Below are 21,359 nucleotides of genomic sequence, written 5' to 3'. Positions count from 1 at the left end.
CATATATTCTGATAAGCTACATGTATAGTTCATTGTAACCACAAAGGTAGAATTAAATTAACATAAGCTATTTTAATATAAATGTTAATATGGTTGTATTAGTTTCCTAGGGCTGCCATAGCAGAGTTCCAGTACTCAGATGGCTTAAGATAGTAGACATTTATTGTCTCACAATTCTGACGGCTAGAAGTTTGAAATCAAGGTGTAAGCAGGGCCATGCTCCCTCTGGCACCTGAAGGGGATGATCCTTTCTTGCATCCTTCTAGCTTCTGATGGCTTTCTGGCAATTTTTGGCACTCCTTGGCTTGCACCTGCAGCACTTCAATCTCTGCCTCCAGTCATATGTCATTCTCCTTTTATGTGTCTATCTTTTCTTTTTCTCTTTCTTTCTTTCTTTCTTTCTTTCTTTCTTTCTTTCTTTCTTTTTCTTTCTCTTTCCTTCCTTCCTTCCCTCCCTCCCTCTTTCTCTTTTTCTTTTCTCCTTCCTTCCTTCCTCCCTCCCTCCCCCCTTTTTTCTTCCTTCCTTCTTTCTCTCTTCTTTCTTTCTTTCTTTTTTCTTTCTTTCTTTCTTTCTTTCTTTCTTTCTTTTTTCTTTCTTTCTTTCTTTCTTTCTTTTTCTTTCCTTCTTTCTGTCTCTCCCTCCCTCCCTCCCTCCTTTCTTCCTTCCTTCCTTCCTTCCTTCCTTCCTTCCTTCCTTCCCTCCCTCCCTCCCTCCCTCCTTCCTTCCTTCCCTCCCTCCCTCCCTCCCTCCCTTCCTTCCTTGCATCCTTCCCTCCCTCCTGCTTCCTTTCTTTTTTTTTGAGACAGGGCCTTGGAATGTCAGGCAGGCTGGAGTGCAGTAGCACAATTTCAGCTCACTGCAGCCTAGAGCTCCTGGGCTCAAGAGATCCTCCTGTCTCCACCTTCCAGTTGCTGGGATTTCAGGGATGTTGTGTTCAGGCATGTTGTGTTAGGGCCCATCCAAATTGAGTGTAACCTTATCTTAACTTGATAACATATGCAAAGGCCCTATTTACAAATAAGATCACATTCACAGAAACTGGAGAGTTATGGCATGAACATATCTTCTGGGGGATGCAGTTCAACTCATAACAATAGCATAATGTAATCATATCTTCTGCCAAGTTGTAATGATTGTTTATTATAAATCCCTGCTACCCAGTGGTAAGCCTAAGATCCAGATATGAATGCTATTCTATTCCAAGTTCATAAATGAGGTACGGTATGATAATGATAATCATTAAGATTATTATTGATAATATTGCTATTCCTCTCATTTCTGTTCGTGTGTGAATAGTGGAAGTCTACAGTAATAGGGAAACCTGATTCCCCTCACTTGGCGGTAACTCTCCGATGATGGCATTTTAAAAAATACATATCCTTATTACTCTTTACAAAACAGATCTAAAACACCATTACAGATTGCACACTTATCCATTCACTTCTTTAGTGTAGGGGTGTTCAGTTAATCTAGAGTTCAGATTTCTCTTCTAGTCTAAAACTTACTCTAAGTAAATAGCAAACTCATGCATAGACATCAATTCTATAGGGAGTACCATCAGCATTTTTAAGGGATCAAGACTGAAACACACCATCTCAGCTGGCTTAGGAAGCAATTGAATGGGTGTTGGACTCATCTTTCACAGAAGAATGACAAAGATTACAGACATTCAACTATCTTCTAGAAGAAGTAAGATGGTTTTAGAAGAACCACTATAGTTCTATGAAACTAGAAGATGGGCATGTTGATGAGAAGGTTAATATCAAAAATATGAAACCACATGAAATTTGGTTCTCCAAATATGGTACATTCAGTGATTAACAACTGGTGGGTTTGGCTATGAAACTACAGAACAGAGTTAGAGGATAAAGTAGATAAATACAGATCCACATATTTAAAGCATGCTTTAAAATATGCCACCCTCAGAGAGAATAATCCTTGAAAATGGTTAATCGTCAAAGGCAAGGAAAGTGAAAATTGCTACTCACCCAGATTCTGTTAAAGGTAGTACCATTTCTTTTTAAATTTACTGCTATTATAAGTTAGGCAATCCCCAGGATTTTCCCAGGAAGATTGTCCACTCTTTTTTTAAGTGTATTTCAGTGCATATGAGGGAGTATAAATTAGGGTGGTCAGTTGAATCTATAAGTAAACAGAAATTGGAATCAATGAATTCTAAGGAATCTGCCGATGACTAAAGGGGCCAATGTTATGTCTGGGATATTTTTATAAACCACCAAAGTCAAGGTGCATGCTTTAGGGACTGAGATGCTTCAGGATGTGTTTATTTTTAGTGGCCCCAAGAGTGTCCTGCTCCATGTAACTCATTAGCCTCAGTTCAGGTAGCCAGAGTTTGGCTGCCTCTGGGGAGCAGCCAAAGAGGAAGACTCTGGAGAGTTGACATCAGATAGTCTATCTTTCCCTGCCCAAATGCCTAGGAGTCGGCCAGGCGCGGTGGCTCATGCCTGTAATCCCAGCGCTTTGGGAGGCCGAGGCGGGCAGATCACCTGAGGCCAGGAGTTCGAGAGCAGCCTGGCCAACATGGTGAAACCCCGTCTCTACTAAAAATACAAAAATTAGCCAGGCATGATGGCACATGCCTGTAATCCCAGCTACTTGGGATGCTGAGGTGGGAGAATTGCTTGAACCCGGGAGGCAGAGCTTGCAGTGCGCCGAGATGGTGCCACTGCACTCCAGCCTAGGCGACAGAGGGATACTCCTTCTCAACAAACAAACAAACAAACAAACAAACAAACAAACAGTGCCTAGGAGCGAACCTGTTGTCTCTACCTAACTTCTAACTTCCACTTCTCACATCTGGTAGTAGTGATTGCATTGTTTTTGCCAATCTCTAAATTCTTTATCCTTATTTTCAGAAATATTTATTCTTACTTAAAAAGAGAAAAAAGAAGTAATTAAGCACAGATTCCTGTGCCTTTTCTCTTTCATATTACTTATATGCTTGTGCTATTATTGCTTCACTCAAAAAATAAATTTTCCAATGGTGCTATCAACTCTATTCCTTTCCCATTTTTTGAGACTGTGTCATCCAGTTGTATCTGATCTGATTTTCACCTTCTGGTATCCATTATCTCTTTCTTGATAGCCTAAAAATATGCCCAAGTCTATCCTATCAGAAAAATAAAAATAGAAAGTGAACCTCCCTACCTCTTATATCCTTCTAGTTCTCCTCTTCCATTAACTTACAATCTTTGAGATAGGACATAAAACATCCATATTTTTTCTCCTCTCATCGACACTTCCCAATGCTGTCATTTGCCTTCTTCTCCCACTCTAGTCAAGCTGCTTTCAGTGGAATCTCCAGGATCCTTCCCATCACACAAAGTAGACAAGCTAACCCCATAATCTCACTTGATGTAATTTGGGCTTGATGATCTCCTCTTTTAAGAAATTATGTTATCCATGGACTTCTCTCTTGTTCTTTTTCTATTATTCCTTTGATCCCTGATTCTGAGTTTTCTTTCTCACTGGAGACAAACCTCATTGTTTAGGTTTCACATGTTCTATCTTTCGCTCTTTTTTCATCTCTCTCCACACTGTCCCTGGGATACTTTTCCATTTGCTTGGCTCTAACATCTATCTATATGATAAATCTTCAATCCATATGTAGAATTTAGTCTTCCTTCTTGAGTTCCATACTAAATCAAATGGAATATTGGCTATCTACACATAGCTTATTTGTGAAGTCTAAATTTCCAATGGTTTTACAATTCAGCTTGTGATTTTCTGAAACCAGTTCCTGTCTTTGTATGTCAAATATCCAGAATCTCAATACCAAATCCTTAGTAACTGCAGTGAGAGCCCCTGAATTATTATTGATTCTTCCCTATGTTTTGCTCCCAATAGTCAACCTAAGCTTTGTTGATTCTCCCTTTGACATGGTTTTAGAATACATTCACTCTTCAGCACATATTTTCCATTTGTTATCAATATATTAGTTAATATCTTTTTACCTTTGTGTGAACCAACCATTAAATTCATCTTCTAAGAGAGCTTCCAATTGAACAGACTCAGTTTTCACAGTGTTATTATTTATTTTTCCTAAAACTGATAATCACATCACTTCCTTGCTTAAAACGGCCTCAATTACTATTCTCTACAAGTTTAAAGAAAAAGCACACCTTTAATATATAAAGTTGTATTTATTCAATGGACTCTGTAGTTGTAGAAACAAACTCACAACTTAAATCTACCGTCCCAGTTTGGGGCCAGCATTCTATTATACATCCTATTACTCTATTACATTGTTTCATCTGAAAGGTATTATCCTGCCTTAATTTCCAATTCAAACTCTCCATTCCTAATTCAAGAGTTTGCTCAAGGGTCATATTCTTTACAAAGAAAACTCACATTTTCTCTCTTTTTTGAGATCCGATAACACTTTCTAACTAATTATTATTATTATTACTAATCAATGCCTAAGGTAATTAATCTTTGGCTGCCTCGAGTGTGAGCTCCTCCAGGACATGACCTATTTTTTTCTTCTTCTTTTATCCCTAGTGCTTAATTCCATGTCCCATGCATTCTAGGTCTTAAAGCTTTTATGCTTAATAAATATGAAATTAATGAGCTGGGATTCTGGAAATCTAAATATGGAGTAAAAATCAACTCTAATTGTGTAGGATTGAAACAAAACTACATAAATTAGTTTATCTTATTCTCTGTGTACATGTTGAAGGTTACATGTACATTTTCAAAAGTAGATACTGATTTAAAAGGTGAGATCATAAATATAGATGTGAAAAATCATCTTTATATGTAAAAACAATAATTTTATTTTAGGTTTAAGCTTCTTTGGCAGTTCATTTTGGTCTTCAGAATAAAGTGCCAACGTGTAAGCATGGTGGTGTCTTGATGTGGCGTCTCCTATTTCTCTGCTTTCATGGTTTGTCTTTTCCCTATGATGCTCCTTTCACTTTGAATGTCCTTACACACGGAATTCTTTTTTTGACTTTTATAGTTCAGTTAAAACATTGCCTCCTCCATGAAGTTGTGTTGACAATGCCTATTTTATGCCTCCAGAAGAAGTCAAACTGCTTTTATTACTAAACAAGAAAGAATAAAAATAATCATGTAGGTACCCAACTCAAGATATCATTAAAAAGGAATCTAGTGAAAGAAAAGAGGTGTTAAAGAAAAATAGAATCAATTAGTTTAAAAGAATGTGAAACTGATTCTTTTCAGGAAGCAATTTTGGTATGGCTTTTAAAACCAGGTTACTGATAAAGCTAGGGCTGCTTTGTGAAGTTACATTTGATTGTCGTATAAATAAGACTTTTATGTTTATTTCTTTCACTCAGATTTTTCAACCCTTGAAACCTAGAGCTTCTCTCTGAATTACTGTATAATTTCACTTTCTTGTTCAATATTATATCTCAGTTATTTTATATTTTATGCCTGATTTATTAATGCTTCCTTATACTCAGTGGATAGATACAGGGAATTCTTCTTTCAAGGAATGAGAAATCAAATCTGAACTATTATTCTTCTTCTTTAGGACAATTTGCTTAATTTATTGCCTTGGAATTTGAGCTCAGGAGTTCAAGACCAGCGTGAGCAACATGGTGAAACCCAGTCTTTACAAAAAGTTCAAAAATTATCCAGGCGTGGTGGTGGGTGCCTGTAGTCCCAGCTACTCTGGAGCCTGAGGCACGAGAATCGCTTGAAGTGGGGAGGTGGAGGCTGCAGTGAGCAGAGATTGTGCCACTGCACTCCAGCCTGGGTGACACAGCCAGACCCTGTCTCAAAATGTAAAATAAAATGAAGTAAATATGATTAGTATGTTTCAGTACTTAAAGAGTGTTCTGAAAATATGAGCAAGAAATAAAAGACTAAAGGAACTAAAAAACAGAGTCTGGTCCTGAACAGGATGCTGAATTATGATGAATGCTGACTGCCTCCCTCAAGTTAAATCCCAGAAAAACTAGAGAAGGTAAACAGATAAAACTGTAAGAAAGCCAGAGGTACTGGCCGTGTGGGATGGTAGTTGAACCTGGGGTAGAGAACTTTCCAGCACAATTATAAGAGGTTAAAATAAAAGGTTAATTGTGAGTGTTCTGCTGTAGCTTTTCCCCTGCTACTGTCTTACCACACATGGTGCTTGCCTTACTACTGCAACGAACGTAATTCTGGTCCAAGCACCCTCAGGAATAAAATCAGAGCAGTACTCCTGTGCTTATAAGGGGCTGAGAAAAAAGAGTAAGGGTTATGACTAACAAACCTCAGGCAGTTATTTCCCCAACACTCTACTGCAGGATTCATGCCATCCTTGCTTTAATGTTTGTGGGTGAGGCACAGTGGGGTTTGGTCTTCGTTTATACACAATGACATAGAGAGGACCCAATACACTGAGAGGAAAATAAGCACACAGGCCAAAAATCACAAAATGTTTAGACAGAACAGCTATTTCAATTAAAAAAGAAATACTAGATTTAAAATTCCAATAAAACATGGAAAAATATCAAATGAGCCTAGTAAATGGATTACCAGTATTAAACAAGTAAAAGAAAAATTTTTAATGAAACCAAACTGAAATGACATAAAATACATATTTGTTTTAATAAATATGAAAGTAGATAACAAATATAATGGCTATACCTGCATGATGAACTGGTGAACTGGAGAGTATGAAGAAATCTCATACAAGAAAGAAGGAAAACACAAAGTAAAAGAAAACTGAAGTGTAAACTGGAGAGATAGGATGGATAGAAGTCCAAGTGTCAACATTCAGATAACAGGACTCCAAGAATGAGCATAAAATAAATAAGGACAGGAAGCATTTTGGGAGGCTGAGGTGGGTGGATCACGAGGTCAGGAGATCGAGACCATCCTAGCTGACACGGTGAAACTCCGTCTCTACTGAAAATACAAAAAATTAGCCGGGCGTGGTGGCGGGCGCCTGTAGCCCCAGATGCTCGGGAGGCTGAGTCAGGAGAATGGCGTGAACCCGGGAGGCGGATCTTGCAGTGAGCCGAGATCACGCCACTGCACTCCAGCCTGGGCGACAGAGCAAGACTCTGTCTCATAAATAAATAAATGAATATGGACAGGAGAAAAGATCCGAAGACATATGAAGATCAGTTTTGGAAGAAAAAAAAGTGAAAATTTCTGTTTAAAGGAGACTATAGAAATCCAAAGAGAGATAAGGAAAAACTCGCATTGAGGCATATTATAGTTAAATTTAGAATATTAAAGACAGAGAAAATTATAAAGCATTCAGAAAGAAAGTACAGATCACTTATAGAGGAAAAAGAAACTAACTGTGGTGTTGTTTTATCAAGGTAGGACAACTTTATATTACATTTTCTATTTCTCAGACCCCATAGTGTGAGTTTTGGCTGTAACTATGTTAATTGAGAGACTTGACATTATAATTTTCAAGGGAAAGCCTCCCTCTGTCCAGTAGCCACTCTAATTTTATTCTTCAAGGTCAAGATGGGGAAATTTCTTTTCTGCCTTTTGCAGGACAGGATTTTTTCTCATTGACCCTTACCTCAAGGTAAGGTAAGGTGAGGTAAGGGCCCCTTTGGAGCTCCCACTTTGATTTCTCATGTCAGAATTACCCCAAATTTGTGGGCCATGCAGACATGCAGAGATTTATAGGAAGTGATAAATATCTTATTATTTTTAAATCATATAATTATTTTCATAAGAAAAAATTTAAAAGATTAATAAATGACTTTTTATTCATTCTATCAGCAAATATTTATAGGGTATCTGCTGCATGCTAGGGCCTACATGGTTTTCTCCTTGCAGGATTTCAGATGAAGGCAGAGGTAGGAGCCAAATATATTTCTAATGTTTTTAATCTTTGCAAAATCCTCTTCTATTGGAGGAAAAAGATGAACCAAAATAAAGAAATATTTTGCTTTACATAGGATGAGTTTGATTTGTAAAAGTTAAATTTGTCCATCACATAGATGATTTTGGCTAGAAAATAGTTGGAAATATAATACCTGGTGTTTGAAATTCATTTTTAGTGTGCATTTTGGATTTGGAGGTTGTCTTAAGAGGGGAAAAAATAAAGCAGTAAGAACAGTCACTATGACTGTGATTGTGCCACTGAACTCCAGCCTGGGCAACAGAGCAAGACCCTGTCTCAAAACAAAACAAAACAAAACAAATCAAGAATTGTCACTGTGATGTGAGTGAGAGTAGAGAGGAAACTGGAGCACTCCAAAGACAGAAACACTTTCTGAACTAAGAAATAAACTGACCTTATCCAGTTTTACCCCAGGAAAATTCTTTTTCATTCTTTTTTTTTGAGACAGGGTCTCACTCTGTTGCCCAATCTGGAGTGCCATGGCATGAACGTGGCTTACTGCAGTGTCAGTCTCCTGGGCTCAAGCGATCCTCCCGCCTCAGCCTCCTGAGTAGCTGGGACTAGAGGTGTGTGCCATCACAACTGGCTAATTCTTTTTCATTTTTTTCATATATATATATAAAATACTTTAAGTTCTAAGGTACATGTGCACAACATGCAGGTTTGTTACATATGTATACATGTGCCATGTTGGTGTGCTGCACCCATTAACTCGTCATTTACATTAGGTATATCTCCTAATGCTTTCCCTCCCCGCTCCCCCCACCCCACAACAGGCCCTGGTGTGTGATGTTCCCCTTCCTGTGTCCAAATGTTCTTATTGTTCAATTCCCACCTATGAGTGAGAACATGCGGTGCTTGGTTTTTTTGTCCTTGCGAGAGTTTGCTGAGAATGATGGTTTCAATCTTTTAAGTGGCCTCTATTGTTTTTTTCTTTGGACACAAATGCATATTACTTAATGTGGCACCTAGCCCATAATATCAGTTCAATATGCTTTTTAATAAAATAAATACAAATGTCTCCAATAAAAAGAAAACAACGTAATAAAATTATTTAGGGTTTTGGATTGTGTCAAAGCCCTATTCAGCAATGTCTACTTGAAAATTTCATTGAAAAAGTAACTTAAATAAAGTAGCTATTTGAAGGGCTCAGTAGGATAGAACCCTTGTCCTTAGCATGAATCATAGTGAGAAGACACTTTTGAATATGTTTGTTTTTCTTCTATTACCAGGAAAACATAGGATCATAAATCACAATTATTCCATATGTTTTAGAAATTAATCATGTGTATCTTTGCACAAGCACCATAATGCTTGTGTGTATAAATGAGTATGCATGCATACTTGTAAACACACAGCTTTCATACTCGCTTTTATTATTGTCACTTTTAACAGCCCCTTACATGAAATTTATATTTAAAAAGTGAGAACATTTATATTCATTCTGATGTATTCAGACACTTGTATTAAATTCTTAGCTCTACTATTTGTGGTCTGTTTGATAATGTTTCCTAATCTATCAAATGAAAGGATTCTGAATTGATCATTTGTTTTCAAATGTATATTCATGTTAGAATCTCACAAGGAGCTTTTTCAACAAAATATTTCCAGACTTTCAAAAACTCACAATCACTGTGGTTGGAACTTGAAACAAACATATGTGTGTCTGTGTGTGTATATATATATATATACACACACACAGACACACATATATATATCTTTATGTAATTTTAATGCAGCTGATCAGTGAAACAGTGTTAAGCTCAAAAATTTTAATGATGTCATAGACCATGTCTAAGCTAATGTTCTATCTTTTCCATATAACAAAATTTATACCTACCAGAAGATATTGTAGGTATTTTGGCACTCCATTGGCTCAATTCCATGAAATAAATGATGATTACACAAACTACTAATGGGAAAGATGATCATATAATTTTTCCAAAGCATAACTTCTGTCAGTCAATCCACAGTACTAAAGCATTGATTTATGGTTCTGTTGGATTTTAATTAGCTGTGGTCAATTTGGAAAGGAGGAGAAAAAATGATTTGACATGTCAGATACAACATGTTATACAGATTAAATTTCAGCTGTAATCTAACTAGTCATCAGCATTTTATTCAGGGCTTTACAATAAGTATTCCCAAGTTCTGCCTCTGTAGGTTTGTATTGGGTAGGTAGGAATATTTAAATGAATTTTGAAGTTTCACTTCAAGAATTATTTATTTCTATTAAATAAGTAAAGAAGCAGTCTCAAGAGCAGTCACTGTCACTGTGTTTTCTAGACACAAGCCTCTTCAGTGCACCTTTTACATCCTTGTTTCTCAGTGTATAGATGACAGGGTTTAACATGGGGGTCATTAAGTTGTAGAAAAGGGTAAGGAACTTCCCTTGGTCCTGAGAAGAATTATTTCATGGTTGCATATACATATAGATAATATTCCCATAAAACAAGGAGACCACGGTGAGGTGGGACCCGCACATATTGAAGGCCTTCCTTCTTCCTGCGGCTGACTTGATTCTCAGCACTGCTAGGGCAATGTAGCTATAAGAGATGAGGATAAGACACAAAGGCATCAGGACAATTACTACCGATAAGGTGAAAACAGTGCTCTCCATAGCCACTGTGTCCACACAGGTGATTTTTATTAGAGCTGGCATCTCACACAGGAAATGTTTCAACTTACATCTTCCACATCGTGGCAGCTTCATAGTCACAGGAGACATAACTAGAGAACTGAGGAGTCCAACACCCCCGGGCCACAGACACCAACTTCCAGCACAGCTGAGGGTGCATAATGACAGAATAGTGAAGGGGCTTGCAGATTGCAATGAAGCGGTCATAGGCCACGGCTGCCAAGAGAATACACTCTTGCCACCCAGGCCCAGGAACATGAAGAGCTGGATGGCACAGCCCGTGTGGCTGATAGTCTTGCCTGGGCTGCCTAGATTGAAAAGCAGCTGGGGGATAGAACTGGTGGTGAAGCAGAGATCTAGGAAAGACAAGTTAGTGAGGAAGAAGTACATGGGCATGTGGAGGCAGGGGTCCAGGTGGGAGATCAAGATAATGATGATGTTGCCCACTAAGGTCACAAGGTAGAAGATGAGGACAAACACAAAGAGGACATGCTCCAGCCTGGGTCTGCCTGAGAAACCCAGTAAGATGAACTGTTTCTGGGCAGCTCTGGTTGGTCATGACAGTGGATAATCAGTACCTGCCTGAAGGGAAGCGATAGGAGCACACCATATTCTTAATGAAGCTGGGTAAGAAATGGATCGAGAAAAAGATCATGTAAAATAGTTACATAAAACTTCAATATTCTGTGCAGACATAGATTATATATTTTGGGAAGAATATCTCCTCTTATTGGCATGTTTTGTTTCTTTTTAAATACCAAAGAGATGCAGATCATTGTAGAATATTTGGAAAACACAGACATATATAAAGAATAGGAAAAGATTGTCCACACTCCAGAAACAATCACCTTTGCACTATTGATTTCAGTCTTTTCAAAAATGAGTATGTATAATTTAACACAACCTAAATTACAGTGTGTTAAAAAATTTATATTCTGAATTTTCTTTCAGCCAGTATTGTGAGAATTTACTTTGGTTTAAAAAATCTATAATGAAATCTTTAATGTCTGTATAATTTTCCTATAGCATGGCATAATTTATCTAAACCTTTCTCTATAGTTGCTTATTGAGGGTATTTTCTATATTTTAAAGGTCTTGATAGAGAGGTTATGGAAGTACCTGTTTTACCGTATTTTAACCAGCATGCTTTCCCCCAAATTGCTGACAATCACTTGGTCCAAAGTGATGTCTCATATTGTTTAAATTTGATGTTCTTAGCAGCAACATTGATTGATTTTTTTGATGCTTGTAAGCTTTTCACAAGTGGGAAAATTTTTTTTTGTCACTGAGCTAGCATGTCACAGATCATAGAAAAGCCTATAAATAGAACCCAAAGTGCCACTTATAATGTAACAATGAAAACAAGAGTAATGGCTGACTTCATCTTACTCACTGAAGTAAAAGACACAACCTTTCCATTTTTACTCAACTATTCAATCCATAACAAAATATACATCCTTTTGTAAATGATTAAATCACTAATTCTACTTCGTTGTTTACATGAAGTTATTTTCCCTACCTACAAATACATGCTTATTTTATAAAACTGCAATTTTACAAAAGATACAATTATGAAAAGTTTTCAGTGAATATATTTTAAAAATTTCTTTCTGTTATGAAATATGCTCATAATTATACTTTTTACCTGGATATATCTGTGAGGCAGACCTGTATTTCTTTATTCATCAAATTTTAAAATGATATAAATTATAAAAATAAGCTTGATTTAGAAATTTTAATGCATTGACAGAGAATGCTATCATGTTGCTTTCCAAAATCTATGCTTTTTCCCCTCAAGAAAGAACTAATTGTTAAACAAGAAAAAAATAGGTAAATCAATTTTCATATTTCAAACTGGTAGATCAATTCAAAAGTCATTCCTTTGAATGTGTCAAAGACACTAAAATCAGATAATTTAAAACACTCAAAGATAAATTTATGACCTGTTCTGTAATAGGATGTTTCTCAACACCTTAAGTTAATAAAGATGCTTCCTGTACTCTACCTACAAATATGGTGCTTGATTCAGAAGATCTTAGCTCATTATTCTATTAATATTTATCATCTTGTTAAAAAACAATTTCATTACCTCACAGGGTTGATGTGAAGTTACAGCTTTCAGTGTAACCCCTTTCCTGGGTACATAAAGATCTTTATAACTCTATCAGTTACCGCCTTAACTAGTTATTGTAACTAGTTTCTACTATAACTAGCGTTCTTTTCTGGCCATGTAAGTGTAAAACAGATCCAGGAGAGGCAGATGAAAGTGAAGGAGCTACATCATCTTTCCATTTCCACCTCTACATCAAGGTCTCACGTGTATTGATATATTTACACACCATTATATATATTTGTAAAGTGCCTTGTGCTTGATAAACCATGTTACAGGTATCAGAGATTATTATAATAATTTAAATAGGAAAGACAGCTCTGTGTCATACATGATCAAGAGGAGAATCTTTTTCATGCTATTTTGAATATTATCAGTGTTATTAGCAAAAACTAGCAATTTTAGCCAGTTTAAATTCATTATAGCTGTTTAGATGGCCCAAGAAAAAAACTTTTGACTGCAAGTTAAACTCCAGTGATTCTCAAAGGGCTCAGCTGATAAAATGTTGACACAGCCTTATTTCAGATAAGATTATCATTTTTGAAATGAAAATTACTGAAAATATTTACATTGATGAATAATTTCATATTTAACAAATATTTATAGAGCTCCTATTATATGACAAACACTGTATTACATGCTAGAGATATAATAACTACTAAACTAGGTAGTAATTGATCTCATTGATTTCTAGTGTAGTGAGAGAAAGGCATTCACCAAAACTCACGAAAACGAATGTATGACTATCAACATCACTGAGCCCTTACTTAGTGCTGAAGACTGTGCTAAGTGCTTTCTTCAACTGCTTTATTTAATCCTCATACTTGAATTTGGAGGATATAGGCATTAAGTAACTTACCAACAAATATTCAGCTAGGAAGTTATAGATGCGCAATTTGAACCTAGGCCTGTTTGACTCTTAATCCAAGTTTCTAAACACGATGGGACTAAAACAGAAAGATAACGTATTAACCCATGAACCCAATCTCTGCCATTGCATTCAGTTAAAGTAAATTGAGTGCTTCAAGTTCTTTAATCGCTGGTATGGTTCCAATGGAAGGAAACATCAAAGAGGTGTAGGGAAGATAAATCAAGTGAAGAAAATGTCTCCAAAACTCAGTTTTCTAAGCAAATGAAAGATATATCCATTCTTTCAAAAGTTTCTGGATTTTAGAGGGATGATGATTCACATCCCAGGTGGGATGGAGAGGACTGGTGTGAGATTTCATCACCCTACTTAAAATGGTGCAAATTTAAAACTTATTAATTGTTTATTTCTGGAATTTTCTACTTAATATTTTCAGACCAGGGTTGACCACAGGTAACTGAAACCGCAGAAAGAGAAACTGTGGATAAGGGGGGACTGCTGTACAGGCATACCTGGGAGATATTTTGGTTTCAGTTCCAGATAATTGCAATAAAACAAATATCATAATGAGGTGAGTCACACCATTTTTGGCTTCCCCAGTGCATATGAAAACAAAGTTACACTATATTGTAGTCTATTACATGTGCAATAGCAAAAAAAAAACCTTAATTAAAAATACTTTATTGCTACAAAATGCTAACAATCATCTAAGCCTTCAGAAAGTTGTAATCTTTTTGCTGTTGGAGGGTCTAGCATATGATGTTATTTGATAGCATTTTACCCATTTTGAAAGCAGAACTTCTTTCAAAATTTGATTCAATTCTCTCAAATTCTGCTGCTTATCAACTAAGTTTATGTAATATTCTTAATTTTTTTTGTCATTTCAATAACATTCCAGCATCTTCACTAGGAGTAGATTTCATCTCAAGAAACCACTTTCTTTGCTCATCCCTAAGAAGCAATTCCTCATTTGTTCAAGTTTTATCATGAGAATGTAGCAATTTAGTCATATCTTCAAGGCACCACTTCTAATTCTGGTTCTCTTGCTATTTCTACCACATCTGCAGTTACTTCCTCCACTGAAGTCTTGAAGTAAACCATGAGTGTTGGAATCAGCTTCTTCCAAATTCCTGTTAATGATGATATTTTGACCTCCTCCAATGAATCACAAATATCCTTAATGGCATCAAGAATGGTGAATGGTGAAGCTTTTCAATCTACTTTGCCCGGATCCATCAGAGGAATCACTGTCTTTGGCAGCTATAGCCTTATGAAATGTATTTCTTAAATAAGAAGACTTTAAAGTTAAAATTACCTCTTGATCCATGGGCTGTAGAATGGATATTGTGTTAACAGGCATGAAAACAACATTAATCTCCTTGTATATCTCCATCAGAGCTCTTGGGTGACCAGATGCATTGTCAATGAGCAGTAACATTTTGAAAGGAATCTTTTTTTCCTGAGCAGCAGGTCTCAACAGCGGGCTTAAAATATTTGGTAAACCATACTGTAAACAGATGTGCTGTCATCCCCAGACTTTGTTGTGTTATTTCTAGAGCACAGGCAGAGTTGATTTAGTATAATTTTTAAGGGACTTAGGATATTTGGAATGCTACATGAGCAATGGGTTCAACTCAAAGTCACCATCTGCATTATCCCCCAACAAGAGAGTCACCCTGTTCTTTGAAGCTTTGAGGCCAGGCACTGACTTCTACACTCTGGCTATGAAAGTCCTAGATGGCATCTTCTTCCAATAGAAGGCTGTTTTTTCTACATTGAAAACCTGTTGTTCAGTGTAGCTACCTTAATCAATTATCTTAGCTAGATCTTCTGGAAAACTTGCTGCAGCTTCTACATTAGCACTTACCTTGTGGTTTTATGTTATGGAGACACCTTCTTTCCTTAAACGTCATGAACCGATCTCTGCCAGTTTCAAACTTTCCTTCTGCAGCTTCCTCACCTCTTTCAGGCTTTACAGAATTGATGAGAGTTAAAGCCTTACTCTGGATTAGGCTTTGGTTTAAGGGAATATTGTGGCTAGTTAGATCTTCTATCCAGATCACTCAAACTTTCGATCAGCAATGAGGCTGTTTCACTTTCTTGTCACGTATGTGTTTAGTAGTGTAGCACTTTTAATTTCCTTCAAGAACTTTTCCTTTGTGTTTACAGCTTGGTTAACTGGTGCAAGAGGCCTAGCTTTAGGCCTGTGTTGGCTTTTGACATGCCTTCCCCATTAAACTTAATCATTTCTAGCTTTTTTTTAAACTTATTTATTTATTTTTATTATTTTATTTTATTATTATTATACTTTAAGTTTTAGGGTACCTGTGCACAACATGCAGGTTTGTTTCATATGTATACATGTGCCATGTTGGTGTGCTGCACCCATTAACTCGTCATTTAGCATTAGGTATATCTCCTAATGCTATCTCTCCCCTCTCCCCTCACCCCACAACAGTCCCCGATGTGTGATGTTCCCCTTCCTGTGTCCATGTGTTCTCATTGTTCAGTTCCCACCTATGCGTGAGAACATGCGGTGTTTGGTTTTTTGTCCTTGCGATAGTTTGCATTTCCAGCTTTTGATTTAAAGTGAGAGATATGTAACTCTTCCTTTCACTTGAACACTTAGAGACCATTTTAGGATTATTAACCAGCCTAATTTCAACATTTTTGTGTCTTAAGGAATACAGAGGCCCAAGAAGAGGGACAGAAATTGAGGAATGGCCAGTTGGTAAAGCAGTCAGAACACACAAAACATTTATCAATTAAGTTAGCTGTCTTAATATAGATGCAGTTTGTGCCCCAAAATATGGTGTCCCAAAACAATTCCAATAGTAACGTCAGAGATTACTGATCACAATCACTTATCTGAGATATAATCACAGATCACCATAGCAGATATAATAATAATGAAAAACTATGAAACATTGTGAGAATTACTAAAATGTGACACAGAGACACGACGTGAGCACATGCTGCTGGAAAAATGGTACTGATAGACTTGCTCGACAGAGTGTTGCCACAGACCTTCAATTTGTAAATAATGCAATATCTGCAAAGTACAATAAAGTAAAGCACAATAAATCAAGGTGTGCCTGTATGAATTAAAACAATTATTGAAAGGATTATAATTAAAATTATTAGAAGAATGGTGTGACATAATGTATAACCCATAACCAATGAGTAAAAATTATTTAAACATGTAAAAACTCTGTATGCAATTTGCAAATATTTTAAATCAATAATTACAGGCAGAATATATATTATGTGCAATAGAGCACTGTATGTAGCAGATATTATTGTTCACTCCTACTCTTTCCTTGCTTGCTGAACATCAATTTTCTTAGGTGTCAGGTGGGTGGAAATGTCTTCAGACACATGGGAAGAACCATGCTTTTTTCTACACCAGTTTTGCTAATCTGATTCCTTCTTTATCAGGGATAAGGTTTAGAGAAGTTAGAGAATTAAGATCAATTTTGACAAAGAAAGAGTTAACTGCTGGCAAAAGCTTGGAGGTGTACAATAGGAGGAGAGGTTAAAGGAAAGCAAAAGAGACAAGAAATAGTTCTAAATGTGGTAAAACAAAGTAGAGAAGTTTGAATATATCATAAAAGTTACACAATCAACAGAAGAATGACAATAATAATAAGATAGCTGGTAGTCAGAGCACTATCAACAAATACTGGAATTGGTAGATCAAGAAATCAAGATATAAGAAAATATTTAGAATTATTAAAATAAACTAAAATAGAAAGTTAAAAATTTTATCACTGCGGTGTGCATTTTAGTGTTGAAAGGTACTATATAAAATTATTTTTTCTGGCTGGGCATGGTGGCTCACGCCTGTAATCCTAGCACTTTGGGAGGCCGAGGCAGGAGGATCACTTGAGGTCAGGAGTTCGAGACCAGTCTGGCCAACATGGTAAAACCCCATCTCTATTAAAAATACAAAAAAAAATTAGGTGGGTGTGGTGGCAGGTGCCTGTAATCCCAGCTACTCGGGAGGCTGAGGCAGGAGAATCGCTTGAACCTGGGAGGCAGAGGTTGCAGTGAGCCGAGATTGCTCCACTGCACTCCAGCCTGGACGACAAGAGTGAAACTCCATCTCAAAAAAAAAAATTATTTTTTCTTTTTATTACAGACCTTTCTGTACTTAATGTTGCTTTAACTTTTGCATGTATTACTTTGATAAAAATATGCATTATAATAATGAAACAATCTAGTTTCTTAGAAAAACATATATATAGGATGTATATTTCTATATATATATACAAAATGTACAGCTTAAAGCAATATATTATAATAATTGTTGCAAAATGCAAACATACATTTTTCAAATCAAATGTGGTTTCAGGTCATGGCTCTACCCTTACCAGGTATATGACCTTATTCAACATATTTAACTGCTGTGTTCTCAGTCTTCTTATCTGTGAAATAGGCATGGTAAAGTAAATATCTTATAGGACTATCATAAGAATTAAATTATGTATGTAATTACATTGAAGAGTATATTACATAGCAACAATGTAATAAAGATTATTTTGTTTCTATTCCATTATTTTTTTTTATTGTTTTATTTTTTATTTTTTATTTTATTATTATTCTACTTTAAGTTTTAGGGTACATGTGCACAATGTGCAGTTTAGTTACATATGTATATATGTGCCATGCTGGTGTGCTGCACCCATTAACTCGTCATTTAGCATTAGGTATATCTTCTAATGCTATCCCTCCCCCCTCCCCCCACCCCACAACAGTCCCTAGAGTGTGATGTTCCCCTTCCTGTGTCCATGTGTTCTCGTTGTTCAATTCCCACCTATGAGTGAGAACATGCGGTGTTTGGGTTTTTGTCCTTGCGATAGTTTACTGAGAATGATATTTCCAATTTCATCCATGTCCCTACAAAGGACATGAACTCATCATTTTTTTGTGGCTGCATAGTATTCCGTGGTGTATATGTGCCACATTTTTTTAATCCAGTCTATCATTGTTGGACATTTGGGTTGGTTCCAAGTCTTTGCTATTGTGAATAATGCCGCAATAAACATACGTGTGCATGTGTCTTTATAGCAGCATGATTTATAGTCCTTTGGGTATATACCCAGTAATGGGATGGCTGGGTCAAATGGCATTTCTAGTTCTAGATCCCTGAGGAATCGCCACACTGACTTCCACAATGGTTGAACTAGTTTACAGTCCCACCAACAGTGTAAAAGTGTTCCTATTTCTCCACATCCTCTCCAGCACCTGTTGTTTCCTGACTTTTTAATGATTGCCATTCTAACTGGTGTGAGATGGTATCTCATTGTGGTTTTGATTTGCATTTCTCTGATGGCCAGTGATGGTGAGCATTTTTTCATGTGTCTTTTGGCTGCATAAATGTCTTCTTTTGAGAAGTGTCTGTTCATGTCCTTTGCCCACTTTTTGATGGGGTTGTTTGTTTTTTTCTTGTAAATTTGTTTGAGTTCATTGTAGATTCTGGATATTAGCCCTTTGTCAGATGAGTAGGTTGCGAAAATTTTCTCCCATTTTGTAGGTTGCCTGTTCACTCTGATGGTAGTTTCTTTTGCTGTGCAGAAGCTCTTTAGTTTAATTAGATCTCATTTGTCAATTTTGGCTTTTGTTGCCATTGCTTTTGGTGTTTTAGACATGAAGTCCTTGCCCATGCCTATGTCCTGAATGGTACTGCCTAGGTTTTCTTCTAGGGTTTTTATGGTTTTAGGTCTAAGTTTAAGTCTTTAATTCATCTTGAATTAATTTTTGTATAAGGTGTAAGGAAGGGATCCAGTTTCAGCTTTCTACATATGGCTAGCCAGTTTCCCCAGCACCATTTATTAAATAGGGAATCCTTTCCCCATTGCTTATTTTTCTCAGGTTTGTCAAAGATCAGATAGTTGTAGATATGCAGCATTATTTCTGAGGGCTCTGTTCTGTTCCATTGATCTATATCTCTGTTTTGGTGCCAGTACCATGCTGTTTTGGTTACTGTAGCCTTGTAGTATAGTTTGAAGTCAGGTAGTGTGATGCCTCCAGCTTTGTTCTTTTGGCTTAGGATTGACTTGGCAATGTGGGCTCTTTTTTGGTTCCATATGAACTTTAAAGTACTTTTTTCCAATTCTGTGAAGAAAGTCATTGGTAGCTTGATGGGGATGGCATTGAATCTATAAATTACCTTGGGCAGTATGGCCATTTTCATGATATTGATTCTTCTTACCCATGAGCATGGAATGTTCTTCCATTTGTTTGTATCCTCTTTTATTTCATTGAGCAGTGGTTTGTAGTTCTCCTTGAAGAGGTCCTTCACGTCCCTTGTAAGTTAGATTCCTAGGTATTTTATTCTCTTTGAAATAATTGTGAATGGGAGTTTGCTCATGATTTGGCTCTCTGTTTGTCTGTTGTTGGTGTATAAGAATGCTTGTGATTTTTGTACATTGATTTTGTATCCTGAGACTTTGCTGAAGTTGCTTATCAACTTAAGGAGATTTTGGGCTGAGACAATGGGGTTTTCTAGATATACAATCATGTCATCTGCAAACAGGGACAATTTGACGTCCTCTTTCCTAATTGAATACCCTTTATTTCCTTCTCCTGCCTAATTGCCCTGGCCAGAACTTCCAACACTATGTTGAATAGGAGTGGTGAGAGAGGGCATCCCTGTCTTGTGCCAGTTTTCAAAGGGAATGCTTCCAGTTATTGCCCATTCAGCATGATATTGGCTGTGGGTTTGTCATAGATAGCTCTTATTATTTTGAGATACGTCCCATCAATACCTAATTTATTGAGAGATTTTAGCATGAAGGGTTGTTGAATTTTGTCAAAGGCCTTTTCTGCATCTATTGAGATAATCATGTGGTTTTTGTCTTTGGTTCTGTTTATATGCTGGATTACATTTATTGATTTGCGTATATTGAACCAGCCTTCCATCCTGGGGATGAAGCCCACTTGATCATGGTGGATAAGGTTTTTGATGTGCTGCTGGATTCGGTTTGCCAGTATTTTATTGAGGATTTTTGCATCAATGTTCATCAAGGATATTGGTCTAAAATTCTTTTTTTCGGTTGTGTCTCTGCCTGGCTTTGGTATCAGGATGATGCTGGCCTCATAAAATGAGTTAGGGAGGATTCCCTCTTTTTCTATTGATTGGAATAGTTTCAGAAGGAATGGTACCAGCTCCTCCTTATACCTCTGGTAGAATTCAGCTGTGAATCCATCTGGTCCTGGACTCTTTTTGGTTGGTAAGCTATTGATTATTGCCACAATTTCAGAGCCTGTTATTGGTCTATTCAGAGATTCAACTTCTTCCTGGTTTAGTCTTGGGAGGGTGTATGTGTCGAGGAATTTATCCATTTCTTCTAGATTTTCTAGTTTACTTGTGTAGAGGTGTTTGTAGTATTCTCTGATGGTAGTTTGTATTTCTGTGGGATTGGTGGTGATATCCCCTTTATCATTTTTTATTGCGTCTATTTGATTCTTCTCTCTTTTCTTCTTTATTAGTCTTGCTAGCGGTCTATCAATTTTGTTGATCCTTTCAAAAAACAAGCTCCTGGATTCATTAATTTTTTGAAGGGTTTTTTGTGTCTCTATTTCCTTCAGTTCTGCTCTGATTTTAGTTATTTCTTGCCTTCTGCTAGCTTTTGAATGTGTTTGCTCTTGCTTTTCTAATTCTTTTAATTGTGATGTTAGGGTGTCAATTTTGGATCTTTCCTGCTTTCTCTTGTGGGCATTTAGTGCTATAAATTTCCGTCTACACACTGCTTTGAATGTGTTCCAGAGATTCTGGTATGTTGTGTCTTTGTTCTCGTTGGTTTCAAAGAACATCTTTATTTCTGCCTTCATTTCGTTATGTACCCAGTAGTCATTCAGGAGCAGGTTGTTCAGTTTCCATGTAGTTGAGTGGTT

At 36.7% G+C, this 21,359-nt stretch overlaps 1 pseudogene; it reads right to left on the bottom strand.

Moving 5' to 3' along the window:
• OR2W2P (olfactory receptor family 2 subfamily W member 2 pseudogene) lies at positions 10,101-11,048 on the bottom strand (annotated as a pseudogene).

Source organism: Homo sapiens, chromosome 6 (genome assembly GCF_000001405.40).
Source record: "Homo sapiens chromosome 6, GRCh38.p14 Primary Assembly".
Classification (NCBI taxonomy): domain Eukaryota; kingdom Metazoa; phylum Chordata; class Mammalia; order Primates; family Hominidae; genus Homo; species Homo sapiens.
The sequence above is the reverse complement of the archived record's forward strand: the minus strand, read 5'-3'. Positions and strand labels throughout refer to the sequence as shown.